Genomic DNA, 13,515 nt, shown 5'->3' on the forward strand with positions numbered 1-13,515 from the left:
CAAGGCATGAAGACACACGGAGGAGGTGATGAGCACACCTCCCAAGTGGGAGCACCACGTGCAGCCACACAGGCCACGGTATGAATGAGCCCCCTAGAGTAGTACAGGGAGGAGGCACTACTCCCCAGGCCTTGCCCCCACCCCTACCCCAGGGGCACACAATAAACAGTGTGCCTAAAGCCACATGGAAGGCTAACCACCCAGGGCAAAATGCGCTTCTCTAGCCTCTGATAGACCCAAGAACAAGGCGTAGTTTGGGACACAAGGCTGGAAAAGGCCCCTAATGAGAAACAAAGATTTCCCCCATGAGTGAATACAGAGTACAAGACAAGAGTAATGTGGTCCCTGAGTCTTACAGCACATTTGTGGACTCACCACAAGAGCTACTGCCCTGAGAGACCCGCCTGTCCCAGCCCTGAATGCCTCTCTACCTGGTTGCTGAGGATGGCTTCAGCCTGCTTGGCATCTTTCTGGAACTCCTGGAAGCCAAGGCACTGAGCGAGGGTGTGGCTGCGGCTCTCCCACATCCTGCCCAGGGCATTCCAGCCAGTATCCAGGCCCTCCAGCCGCTGGCCCAGAAGCAGATACTCTGGGTCCGTCTGGCCTTGGATCACTTTCTCCCCAGACTCCTTAACACGCTGGTAGCTGTCTTGGTGCCCGTCAATCTCATCCTTGATACCTGCATGCTGCTGCAGGAGCTGCTCAGCCTCTGGGAGGGATTCGGGCATGTCCTCAGAGGCCACAGCCTTCTGGGTGATGGAGAGCCAGGCCTGGAAGTCATCCAGATCCTGCAGGAAGGCCTGCAGCTGGCTGACTTCCCCCAGCAAGTCCTCCTGGCCCTGCAGGGATTGCTGCAGGCCCTGCCACAGCTCCTCCAAGTGTTTTTGCCGCTGACCAATATCCTCCTTCTGCTCAGGGTGCGAGTCCATCAGCTGCTGGGACTCACGCTCCAGGGCATCCACACGGGCCTGGATGGCGGCCACGTCACGCTCCAGCCCTGACAACTTCCTCTGGATGGCGATGATACCTGCCAGGTCCCGCCCCAGGTCTTTTGTGGACTCCACTACCTTTGTCTTGTCCGTGATCCACTTGCTGGTCTCCTCGCAATCTACGCAGTAGTTGTGCACTCGGAGGGCTGAGTCCACAGCCTCCCGCCGCTCCGACACCAGGGTCTGAAATGCCTGCCACCTGCCGGATGGGGACACAGCCCGGAGGAGAGAGACACCTTCTCCCTTAGCTCTTCTTCCCATAGGAGACCCTGACCCCTTCCCACATTTCCCACAAGTCTCCCCCCACAGACTTTGTATGATAAAAAGAAAAAAAAAAATCTACCTAACGAAGTGTAGGTGAGCAAAATTCACTTCTCCAATTTTACTCAAGACATATATAACTGTCAATCAGATCTTTTGATCAGCAGGGGGCAATTAATTATGTGACTCCAACCATAAGTAAAGGAACATGAAAGCAAAGTCTATGCATGTAGTTGGAGTTCAGGCAAATATACAATTTCCCCAGAGTTTATGAAATATCAAAATAATTAAAAGGCTCACATTAACTTCAAGAATGCTTCAGGACATAGGGTCCCCAGCTGCCCTAGAGGAACCAAGTAAATGCCCAAGGCCACATGCAACGTCTCCTAGGGCCTGAAAGAGATCACCTTGGATCTAAGAGAAAAGATGCCCTGGTGAAAAAGAAGAGGAAGAAGAGGACAGGGAAGAAGAGAATGGGGAGGAATAAGTTGTGATGATAATTTAAGTGACTAGCATAATCTTAACCTTCGAGTGCAGTGTTGCTATGAAATACGGAAATGTGCTAAGGTCTGGCGGATGCCTGGGGGCCTGGGGTCAGTCTGCAGTACACGATAAGCCTCTTTCAAAGAGCTGCCCATCAGCCAGGCCAGACCACTAGGGACACTGCCCTTGGGCCTAGGTTCACTCATTCTGCATCACTGTAATATGCAGGCTGAATGCTCATTCTCTAATCGAACCCATCTTTCTCGAACACCCACAGGGGTATAAGCCATTTTATTGGCCTTTGGGAGAATATAGACATAACCAGACCATGCCCTGTGGGGTGTATGATTTAGAGAAATATTCAGACAAGCTCACAAATAACATAGCATAAAGTTTCATGTGCACAGCACCTAACAGGCAGAGAGGAGGATTAAGGCAGCTGGAAGGAGCAATGGGGTGACAGTTGCTCACGTGACCTCCACACAACCCATCACTGGACACAAAGCCCCAGTCAGTGAACACACCCCCAGTGCCTCCACTGGAGTGACCAATTAAAGGATGGGACCAAGTGTCTCATTCATCTTTGTACCCTGCCTCAGGGGATGGAGGCTGAGGGACTAGGAGATGGACTGGACAGAGAGCGCTGTTGTGCATTCCCAAGGTGTGACAACAGCAGCCAGTATGATTTGAAAGGTCTGCAGAGAGATATAAGAGACAGGCTGGGAGAGACCAGGGATACGAGAGAGGAGAGAGAGCCTGCAGATTTCTCGGCTCCCATCCTAGACCATGAAGACCCCGTGCTCTGGGAATTCCGTGCCTGTCTGGCACACAGATGGTGCTCTGAGGCTAGGAAATCAAGGGGTTTTCTCCAAGTTTGTTTGAAAGCCCTGGAATCGACAGGGAAGTGTTCCTGGGAGAGGGTCTGGCTGTGTCCCCAGGCAAGAGGCCCCATAGTGATTTTCCAGGCCTTTCCTGGAGTGGCCTCACTGTAGCCATTGGGTGGAGGCCACACCAAGATGCACTGGAGCTTGGGTCTAGTCTGCTTCCCAAACCTACACTTGCCCCCTCCACTGCACTGTCTTTGAGATGGAGGAGGTTGATAGAGCCACTCTAGTTATCACTGGTCAGGCAACATCAAGAGTCTAGGTTTGGTCCTGGGCCAGGTTTTTCTTCAACTGGAAAGCATACGGTGAAAGATGATCACACATTCATCAAGTGTTTGAATGACTCACACATAAGCTTGGCAGAAAAACCTTAGTTTTTTCCCAGTTCACTCATGTACTAAGCATTTATCAAGCAACTCTCAGTTGCCTTGTGGCAGACACTGACCTAGGCACTAGGGATATGACAAAGAACTATGCAGGCTGGGCTCAGTGGCTCACACCTGTAAATCACAGCAATTTGGGAGGCTGAGGCCGGAGGATCTCTTGAGCCCAGGAGTTCAAGACCAGCCTGAGAAACATAGTGAGACCTCATCTCTACAAAAAAAACAAAAAATTAGCTGGGTATAGTAGTGTGCATCTGTAGCATTAGCTACACAGGAGACTGAGATGGGAGAATCACTTGAGCCTGGGAGGCTGAGGCTGCAGTGAGCCAAAATTGTACCACTGCACTCCAGCCTGGGTAATGGAGTGAGATTCTGTCTCTATAAAAAATTAATTAATTAATTAATAAAGAGTAATGCAAAGTCCTTGCTTTCATTCAAGTGGATAGAGACATAAACAAGTCTATAATCCATCAAGTGGTGATAAGCGCAAAGAAAAAATAAAAGAAGGTAACAATATAGAGGCCAAGTGGGTCAGTGAGAGGAAGGATGTGCTGCTTTCCATGGGGCGGTCAGCGGGGGCCATGCCAGTAAGCTGACATTTGAGCTGAGACCTGAATAAAAAGAGTAAGCCAAGGGCATAGCTAGGAAAATAATACTCTAAACAGCAGGAACCCCAAAAATGTATTAGGTGTGCAAAGCCCTTGGGCAATATAAATAGATACAGGTCTTCATTTGTTTACATAGTCTAGCAGGAAAGTCCTTGGGGACAAAAATAATTAGAATGTAAGATAGGATATGAAGCTCAAAACCAGTACAAAGGAGGAAAAGATTGCTTTTCATCTGGAAAACTGGAAAGCAAGCGACTTGGACTGGCTCATGCAGAGACAGGATTTGGAATATGTAGAGGGAGGGAGAATGCACCCTGAGGGAAAGAACCGCAGAGGCATGAGGCGACACTGGGGGTGGAGGTATAGAATGAGCATTGTTCTGAAAAATAATTGAAGAGCTATACACGGAAGAGGAACCAGGGTAAGTGTGATATCTCTCAAGGGCAGAGCCAGAATCAATATGTACGCATTTCAAGGAGGCAGATTTCCACTCAATGGAAGAGCAAACTTTTTAACCAAAAAGAATTGCCCAAAAATGAGATAGGCTGCCGGGTGAGGGAGTGAGTTCCCCATCACTGGCTAGACTGGGTGACTTCTCAGGTTCCTTTCAACTCTCAAATTTAATTTCATGCCTCGGGTTTTTTTCTCACTTAAGGATGGCAGGTACCTTGATATTTTTCTCTTGGGGATGGGGCCTGTTTTAGGGGTCTGTAAAGATCAACATTCTCAGACTATAGTTTATTGTTGAGCTGATGAGTTCTTCCTCTCAGGAAGTTTCTCTGGTTTAGACCTGCTCTAGTTTCCTCAATTATGCAGCAATTGCAATAATCTCTACCACCTCCTGCCCACCAACACACACAAACTCATTACCTACAAGGCGAAAGAAGAGGGAAGAGGTATTCTCTTCCTTTGTAAAACATCAGATTGACAAAGGAATCTCCTAAACCGCACTCTGCAGCTTGGGCTGCTAAGACAATCATCCCATTCTAGTGGCTCTAAAGAATTCTGGTCATCGCTGCCTCCCCTTAGCCCCCCAGTGAACTCTCCACTGTGCCGATCCCTTTCTTTACAATGGAGTCTTCCCTAGGCCCACCTCCCAGATTGCCTCAGGCAGAGCAACGCTCAGGCACAGGTGTGGGGAAGGGGCTGGGGTAATGGGGAGGTGGTGAACATGTGGCATTGCATGTGCAGGGCCCACGGTAAAGACAGGGAATGCAGGCATTTGCGGTGTCCTCAAAGATCCTCCAGGAACTCATGGGCAATTTCACCCCACACTGAAAGCACCCCCTCTCTAAAGGCTCCTTGGGGCCTATTTTTTGTTCTGGCCACAAAGCTTGCTTAAGGCTCCCTGCTAATTCTCCTCTTCCTTCAAGCCAGCCTCATTATCGATACTGCATTTGGCAGAGGCAGGAGCATTATTTTATGGACAGTACTTAAGAGCTCTCAGAAAGCAATTTTCTCTGCCCAAGAATGTCCAGGGAAATATAGCATGAGAAGCATATGGCCTGATTCTAAGTTTGGGCACACTTGGGATGTGCCCTCCATCACACATACACACCCACCCTCCCCAGGCACAGCATTCGAGCCTCCCAGGACTCGTCTCTCTCCCTCCCTGGGCTGTTCACCACCTCAATCATTCCTCCTTGCTGCTATAGTTCCAGTACTACTGGGAAGGGGACTGTGGCTGAGACAGACAGGAATGTCGGTGGGGGCGCGGTGGCTTATGCCTGTAATCCCAGCACTTTGGGAGGCCGAGGTGGGCAGATCGCTTGAGGCCAGGAATGAGACCAGCCTGGCCAACGTGGTGAAACCACATCTCTACTAAAAATACAAAAACTAGCCAGGCATTGTATCGCACGCCTGTAATCCCAGCTACTTGGGAGGCTGAGGAACAAGAATAGCTTGAACCCAGGAGGTGGAAGTTGCAGTGAGCCGAGATCGCACCACTGCACTCCAGCCTGGGTAAAAGAGTGAGGTTCTGTGTCAAAAAAAAAAAAAAAAAAAAAAAAAAGACAGGAATGTTGAGGGTATAGAAGTGTTGGTGCATACTAGGTGGACTAAATTTTGGGCCCGGCCCCCAGCAGTGTGTCAGATGTTGAGAGACAATGCCCCCGCCCCATGCCCTACCCACACCCCACCTGGTGTTCAGATGGTCCTGGTACTGCTTCACCTCCCTGCTGCGTGGGTGGCCACTCTCTACCAAGCTGTTGGCAGCGAGGTTCACACCATCAATCTGAGTCATCAAGGTCTTCATCTCCTGGTCCAGGATGTCGAACCTGATATGGGCAAAGGAAAATATGAGGATGGGTGAGGCGGCAGCAGACATTTCCTTGCCAGTGGCACCCCCAGTCTCCAGAACATGTAGCTCTTGCTTTCTCCTTCCACTGCCTAAACCATTTGCCCAGGTGAGGCAGGAGGAAGAAAACAGATATGCTGGCCCTCCTTTCTGGTTCATGGGTTTGATTTCATGAGTTAGCATTGCCTGGAACAGGCCGGGAGAGAGCCAGTTACTTCCTACACGGGCTTCTGGCTCAAGAGAGACATATGAAGGGGAGGGAGGGCTGAAGAGAGGTTACTGTGTATTTGTGTGGGGGATGTCAATTGTCACAAGGGCCACCTTCCAGGCCTCTGCTTTTCCGGCTGTTGCTTTTGGACTCTGAGTCCAATGCCTTGACATCTTAACCCAAAAGATACCCTTTCCAGCCAGGTGCTCCATTCCTGGGTAAGATAAGGAAAAGCTGCTGGGGCGGTGGTCGGGGGGAATTTGTGGTTCTGAAGGCCGATCCTTCTAGGGTAAGAGCCCAGGACTCTCCAGCATCAGTGCAGCACCACCTTGGCACTGTTCCAGAGAGCGGCCTCTCCTTCTCCTGACTGCCTGAATTCTGTGCTTCAGCTGCTGAGATGCTGCACAGACTGGGGCATGCCTCATCATCTGGGGTGCTGACAAAATCAGAACACCAGGGGTGAGAGTGGCCTTGCAGACAGGGGGTTTGCAAATTCTCTCTGTGGCCCCTCAGAGTCTCCTGGCTTAAGGACTGCCACAGAAAGCTAGAGCTGGCAGGGTCCTGGCCTCTCAACCTCCTTCTCCAGAGTAGCTCCATTTTTCCTCTGTGTGACCTGGGGGTTCCATACACAATTCATCTGAGCAAAGACTGCTATTGCTGAAAAGTAATTGAATAACTGGACTAGATAAATTCCCTTTGTTTGAGGAACACAAGGCCCCAAAGGGTGAAGTACCCCAGGCCACAGAGCCAGAATAGAACTTATGACTCCTAATGCCAGGACTTTGCAACAAAGGACATCCCAGGGCCTCTCAAAGAGACCTTTGCTGATCCAGAGACTATTACCAAACTAGGTGGGAGATGGTGCCCAGGCCTGGGTACAGGGACGTGAGGAAAAGATGAGTTAACTCTGACCTGTGCTGCACGACCTCCAGGTCCTCCAGGGTGTCTGGCATTTCCATCTCGGCCAGCCACTTCTCCTTCTCTCCCATCCACAGCTCACAGGCGTCTGTCTCCCCGAACACCGTGTACAGGTCCAGGGCTTCCTGCAGCCTCTGCTGACGCAGGTCCGCCTGGGCCACCACCTGTTGGTAGAGCTCCCGCAGGGCCTGCAGCCGATGGGTCACATCTGGGGAATCCCGAAACTCTTCGGGGAATCCCTGGGCCTGCTGCTCCAGGTGCTCCATCACCCCACGGCTCTCCTCCAGCTCCTCCAGGAAGTCCTTGTGCTTTTTCCCCAGGGCCCGCGTGGCCCCTTCGTCCTGCCCCACATCTTCACCAGAGAGCAGCCGGTGGGCGTCTTGCAGCCAAGCCTTCAGGTCATCCGCATCGCCCTGGAACTGGAAAAAGTTCTCAGCATCCTGGAGGTTCTTCTTGCAGAAGGCAGCCAGGTCCTTCAGCTGGTCCCACTGTGCCGACACCTCCTTTATGCGGGCCTCGATCTGCGGGTGCCCAAACTGCTTGCGCGCAACCATGCCATGAGCCTCCTGGAAGATCTGCTCCAGGTGAGCATCCAGCCCACGGAGCTCATCCTCAAAGGCCTTGTGCTTGCGCTGTAAGATGAGCACACTGGTCAGGTCTTTGCCATAGTCCAGGGAAGAATAGATCTGCTCCTTCTCCTTGATCCAGCTCTCAGCCTCATCCATCTCCCAGAAGAACTTCCAGAGTCGTTTGGACTGCTCCAGTTGGGCCTTCCGCCCAGCTGCCATGTTGCTCAGCTCCTCAAAGCACTGCTCCAAGTGGCTGATGCGGTCCTGGATGACCTGGGGGTCACAAGGCTGGTACCCTGGAAGAAATAGGGGGAAGGAGGACAAAGTGGGGGATGGGCTTCATTTATGGGCACGCTTCAGATAAGCTGCTAGGTTGGAACTACACAACCCTGAAGCTGCCATGTCACTGGGGCTTTGGGGTTGGATGCAGGGGGGTCCCAGTTGCTCAGAGGGTGGACAGATTCTTTATAATTATTTCCCACTGAACTTCAGGGTTAAGGAAGATAAAAAGTGGGGTTAGTTCTTAATAGAAATGTACAACATAAAATTATTTTTAAATTAATTAAAAAAATTTCAAGGTCATTCTTGAAAGATGCAGTGAGGTCTCTTATTTAAAACAAGAATCTGGAAACCTAAATTGTCTCAGCCATAACTTGAACTAGCAAGGAGAATGAAGGACAGAGGGTGCCTCCTTGGTGATTATAGGTTACCGAAGCAGTTGCCTGCTCTCTAGAGAATTTGGCTGGTCCCTCAAGCTTCTTTCTTGGACCATTACTTGATGAAAGTAACAGAACTTTAAAGTTGGTTCCAGGAGATTTATCCAAGTTGGGTTGTTAGGCCAGAGGTGAGGCTCTGGCATTGGAAGCCTCAAAAGGGGAGACAGACTTGGTCTCACCTTTCCCCTCGGTGAACTTCAGGGTGGCTGCGGTGATGGCCTTCACTTTGTCCCCTTGGATGGCGATGTCAGCTTCCATCAACTTGTGCTTCTGTAGCAGGTCTTCAACCTCCAACAAGTGCTTCCCAAACTCGGCAGACAAGAGGTGAGCCTGGCAAAGAGAACAGCAGAAAGGAAATGAGGAGAAGTGAAGAGACCTACACATTAGGAGAAGAGACCCCTGCAAAGGGCATGTCTCTAGTAATCTGAGCAAGGGTGAGCCAAATGCAGCCAGAAAAGGGCTGCTGCTGAGGATGGAAGAAGCTCCAGAGGGAGAGTGCCTACTGGGGGTGCCCATCAGCATCATCCATAGAACATCTTACAGATGCTCAAGCCCCACACTCATCTACTGCATCGGTCTCAGGGTTGGGGCCTGGCCATGTGTATTTTCACAAAGCTCCAGGGGCAGTCTGATGTGTGTCCTCAGCTGAGACCCACTGCGGCAGAGAGAGAGGAGAGGTTGCCCTCATGCTGGGAGGTCTGGATTCTAACCAGAGTCAAATTGTAATTACTAAGAGCTTGATTCTCCAGGTTCCTGATTAATGTCTGTCTCTTCAAGGCCCTGAAGGTTGGCACCGGTGCTGCCACAAACCCAAGATTTCTCGGTCACCAGGGTACCATGGACCTGGGCTGGTATCACCTGCTGGAGCAGAGTGGACCAAGAGGCAGAGAGGCAGGTGCAGCTAGACACTTTGCTGCCTCAGTTTCTCTATTTTGACTCAGAGATATGACTGGCTGGGAGGTGTCTAAGGAAGCCTATGCTAACTGCAGGGCCACTGAGACCCAAGGTGAGCACTGCAGGGCATGGCGGGGGCGGCCCCCAGGGCCCACCTTGATCTCATCCATCCAGTCGATGCTGTGCAGCATGTCCTGGAAGAGCTTCTGCAGTGCCAGGGTGGTCTCGAGCCTCTGGCGCCGGGACTGCAGCAGCTCCTGCAGGTAGCTCCATAGGCGCAGTATATTGTCCTTGCGGGCCGTGATGCGCTTCTGGTCATGGTAGTTCTCTTTCTCCAGCTCCTGAGCCAGGTCCTCCAGGGCTCTCACCCGCTCCTCGTAGGCAGCCGTGTCGGTCTCGATGGCCTCATGCTTCTTCTTGGCGGCCTCCACAGCTGCCAGGTCATACCCAAAGTTATCCTGCCCCACCGGGAGAAAAACAGGCAGCTCAGTCAGACACCCAGGGGCTCATCCCCAAACTCAGGGACAGGGCAGCTCCCTTCAGAACCAGTGCTAGATGGGAAAGCACATTCCCAAGAAGCAGCTAGTTCTGCCTTACTTTTGCAGCCTGTCTTATCAGACCCAAGTTCCAAAAATTAATGTCTCACAAGAGACTCTAAGAGAAGTTCATGATTTTACTCCCCGTGCCACCCGCGTGGGAGATGCAGCCTGCGTGTTACTAATGGAGCCCCTTGGCAGCCTGCTGGCACTCCCCACATGCCTCGAGTGGACCTGTTGGATTTGGGGCAGGAAGGGGCTGCTTCTCACTCGGAAACCCATGCACCAGCAAACAGATGGTTTATTCACATGCTATCTGGGGTGCGCATACACTCTCCAGTGCTCTCAGAATACTTGTTGCCCCCTTTCTGGACAGAATCTAATTTGATTCCAAGCTTTAAGTGAGAGGGAACAGATGCTCTGATGAAGAATCAGCCCTGGGGTCAATTCTTAGCTAGAATTATGTCACAGCACCAGAGACCAGAGTCCAAAAGGCATGCCTGACACAGACAAGGTGCAGTCTGTGATTTTACCATATCCCCCAAGAACCACAATTTAACATCAACTGAAACCCCAGCTGTAGTTGACACTACAGGCCCACATAAGACAACTTCAGCGGCCAGTTCTAGACTCCAAGGCTCTTTCCTAAAAATGAGATTTAATAAATCCTGGAGAGCTCCTCCCCAGATGCAAATCTTGATCCACTGGATCACGGGGGAGCTGTGCTGCAAGGCACGAGGAGAGGCTGTGAGAAGCCAGCTTGGACTCCAGCCCAGCCAAGAGCTGGGGGCTCTGAAGAATGTCCCCTCTCCTGTCACCCAAAGCATGTCCCTCATTACCTGGGCCACGAGGCGCTGGTTTTCACTGAGCCAGGTCTCTCTCATTGCGGCCTTCCGGTCAAAGCGCCGGGCCAGTTGCTCTAGCTTCTCCTGCCGAATGAGCTCATTTCTCAGGGCCAGCTCCCGCCGATACTCAGCTTCCTCCAGGCTTTCCCAGGCCTGCACAAAGGATGGAATGAGAATTCTTGGGGCACAGGAGAAATGCCTCACTTTGGGGGCTCCACCCCTTTCACCCAACACTGAGTGATTTCTGGAATCAAGGTACAGCCTGATGCTCTTGGGTGACGTGGTAGCAGATTAAAGATCAATAAAAGCCTTTGGCTTTCATGTCTGGGCCCATCAAAGATTCAGAGGGCACTGCTCATGAGTCTCACTTCCCTCTTCCCCTAAACCTGCCTCAGACTCTTGGCCCAAAATAATGTTTTTCACCTCTCTGGATGCTCAGTAAGTTCTTATTGACTAATGGCTACCTCCGTTCAATATGAACTGCCAGGTGGTGGTAAGCCTCCAAGCCTCTGAAATGTCATAGGCATTTCCCTTTGGTTATAAGTAGTTAATATTCCATCTTCAAAGACAAACTCAAGGTTCTACAGAGGATAGGCTACAAAACTGGCTCCAAAAAAATGGACTCGGAGGCTGGGTGTGATGGCTCACACGTGTAATCTCAGCACTTTGGGAGGCCAAGGTGGGAGGATTGTTTGAGCCCAGTACAAAACCAGCCTAGGCAACATTGCCAGACTCTGTCTCTATAAAAAATGTAACATTTAGCCAGGTGTGGTGGTGCATGCCTGTAGTCCCAGCTACTGAGACTGAGGTGGGAGGATCACTTGAGCCCAGGAGGACGAGGCTGCAGTGAGCTGTGATTGTGCCAATGCACTACCACCTGGGTGACAGAGTGAGACCCTGTCTCCAAAAAAAAAAAAAAAAAAAAAAAAAAAAAAAAAAAGGACTCAGGGATGCAGGGCATCTGAACAGGGGGATTGAAGGAGGGTGGGGGAGTAGAGTCTGACCCCTCAGAACCAGGTTCGATAACTCCCCCAAATAGTCAACATGTGGATTAATAACATCAAAGAAAGTGGCTTGGTTTAATCTGGTCCAATGACCATTCACTGTGTCCTTATCGGGAATTCAATCAATCTACTGTCAATGCATAACGGAAAATGCTGTGGTACCCTGTTGATGTCAGACACTAGTTTCCCATCGTGGGGTGTGTACACTTTCTGATTGTTGGCTCTCATCCGGGACTGGATGGTAAAAAGTAGAACTTCCAGATTCCCCTTCTCTTGAAACCTGTCAAGAAAACAGAAGTAGGAAGACTGATGTTAAGATCTCATGGCCAAATTTTTTTGCTAAAGTCAACACGGAACTGTGGCATCTTGAAGCGTAGATAGCAAAGCATATTTCCCTTAAAAACACAGAAAAACTAAAGAGAATCTGTAGGTCTGCTTACCTGTTAAAACATCTATCCTTTTCACCAACTGAGATCTATTAGGGGTTTGGGTCTTTACAATATAAACCAGAGAAAACACAATGGCCACCACAGCATTTATCATTTGCCTCTACATGGGAAGCTGAGGTATTCTGGTAATTCCTGTAAATATCAAGTTGTACGGATCAATACAAAAAAAATTTTAAAAAACCTTCTCTGTGCTGCAAGTGATGAGGGCTTCTTACTAGCTCTCTGGTCAGTTCCTTATTAAGTGAGTCAATAAAACCCCAGAAGCAGCATATTCCGTGGGAGAGCATCCTGCACTGAAAACAGCTTTCACCCAGGTCCTAATGAGCCAGATCTCCTGACAAGTCCTACAGGCCAGATGCTTCCCAGAAGGCAGGAAAGGCTGGGCTCTGAGAGGCTTGTAGGTGTAGGAGACAAGAATTGTCAGCAGGATCGGTGTCTAGCATATGGGGTACAGGCTCCAGGTATCAGGTACTTCCACATTTCTGCATGTACCTAAGTGTCCACCCATTTCTGCATCCTTGACCTGGCAGTCAAGGATCAGCTATATGCAAGGTCCCCACCCTGAGCCCAGCCTAATGGATCTCAGTGCTCACAGGCACTTAAGAGAACTGTGACCGTGAAGCACTGTCTACACAGCCAAGAGATAACACCTCTGTGTGCAGTGACTGGTAGACTCATAGAGGATGCTAACTGTATTGGATTTAGGGCTTCAGAAATGGGTTACTGTCAGACTAGAAACCAGATACTTGTTTATAGTATATCCTAGACTCAGCATTTCACCTTTCCCCATTTGAAAGTCATGAATGCAGAGTGTGGGAGATGGGGGGAAGAGCAGAGCAGAAGGTACCATCAATGAGCTAGAAGCCTATTTCAGAGGATCTGGACAAGCTAATGGCAGATAAGCTGGAATGCCCCGTGTGTATGTGTGTATGTGTGCATGTTTGTGTGTGCATGTGCACATGCATGGTTGTATATATGTATGTGCATTTGTACATGTGGTTGTATGTGCATATATATGTGCATGGGTGCATAGTTATGTGTGCACACATAAATGCATGTATAGTTAGGTGTATGTGTATGAGTGCACGGTTGTGTGTGTATGTTTGTGTGTGCATGCATGTTCATGGGTGCACAGTTGTGTGTATGCATGGTTATGTGTATGCAGGTATGCATGTGTGTGCACGGTTGTTTGCATGCACATGTGTGTAAGCATATGCACACAGGCTCTGCACACACTAGGGTGGGGCAGAGGTCCTGAGAAGCAGGCTAAGTGGTCTGTTGCTGAGCAGTGACAGATGGGAGAGAAAAAGAAGGATGAACTTGACAATCCATAAGGCCCCATGCAGAGAGCTCAGGGGCTGAGAGCACAGAGGTCATCAGAAAACAAGCCCACAGCTCAGTGGCAGACCAGAGAGGAGCTTTCCAGCCTGGGTTCTTCAAAGAGACTCAGAAGCCTATGATTTCCCTCCTGT

The 13,515-nt window shown here is 50.3% G+C and overlaps 1 protein-coding gene across 8 annotated transcripts in view; it reads right to left on the reverse strand.

The window, feature by feature from the left end:
• The window catches only part of SPTB (spectrin beta, erythrocytic), a 133,625-nt gene that overhangs the window by 39,690 nt on the left and 80,420 nt on the right, over window positions 1-13,515 (reverse strand). For all 8 annotated transcript variants that reach the window (NM_001355436.2, XM_017021612.3, XM_047431724.1 and 5 more), the window contains 7 exons: window positions 11,757-11,874; window positions 10,585-10,743; window positions 9,365-9,667; window positions 8,495-8,645; window positions 7,025-7,895; window positions 5,747-5,884; window positions 432-1,188 (listed from right to left, as the gene is read on the reverse strand). In NM_001355436.2, the coding sequence (NP_001342365.1) occupies window positions 432-1,188; window positions 5,747-5,884; window positions 7,025-7,895; window positions 8,495-8,645; window positions 9,365-9,667; window positions 10,585-10,743; window positions 11,757-11,874 (2,497 nt within the window). The remainder of the gene's footprint in view (window positions 1-431; window positions 1,189-5,746; window positions 5,885-7,024; window positions 7,896-8,494; window positions 8,646-9,364; window positions 9,668-10,584; window positions 10,744-11,756; window positions 11,875-13,515) is intronic.

This window comes from Homo sapiens, chromosome 14 (assembly GCF_000001405.40).
Source record: "Homo sapiens chromosome 14, GRCh38.p14 Primary Assembly".
In the NCBI taxonomy this organism is placed as follows: domain Eukaryota; kingdom Metazoa; phylum Chordata; class Mammalia; order Primates; family Hominidae; genus Homo; species Homo sapiens.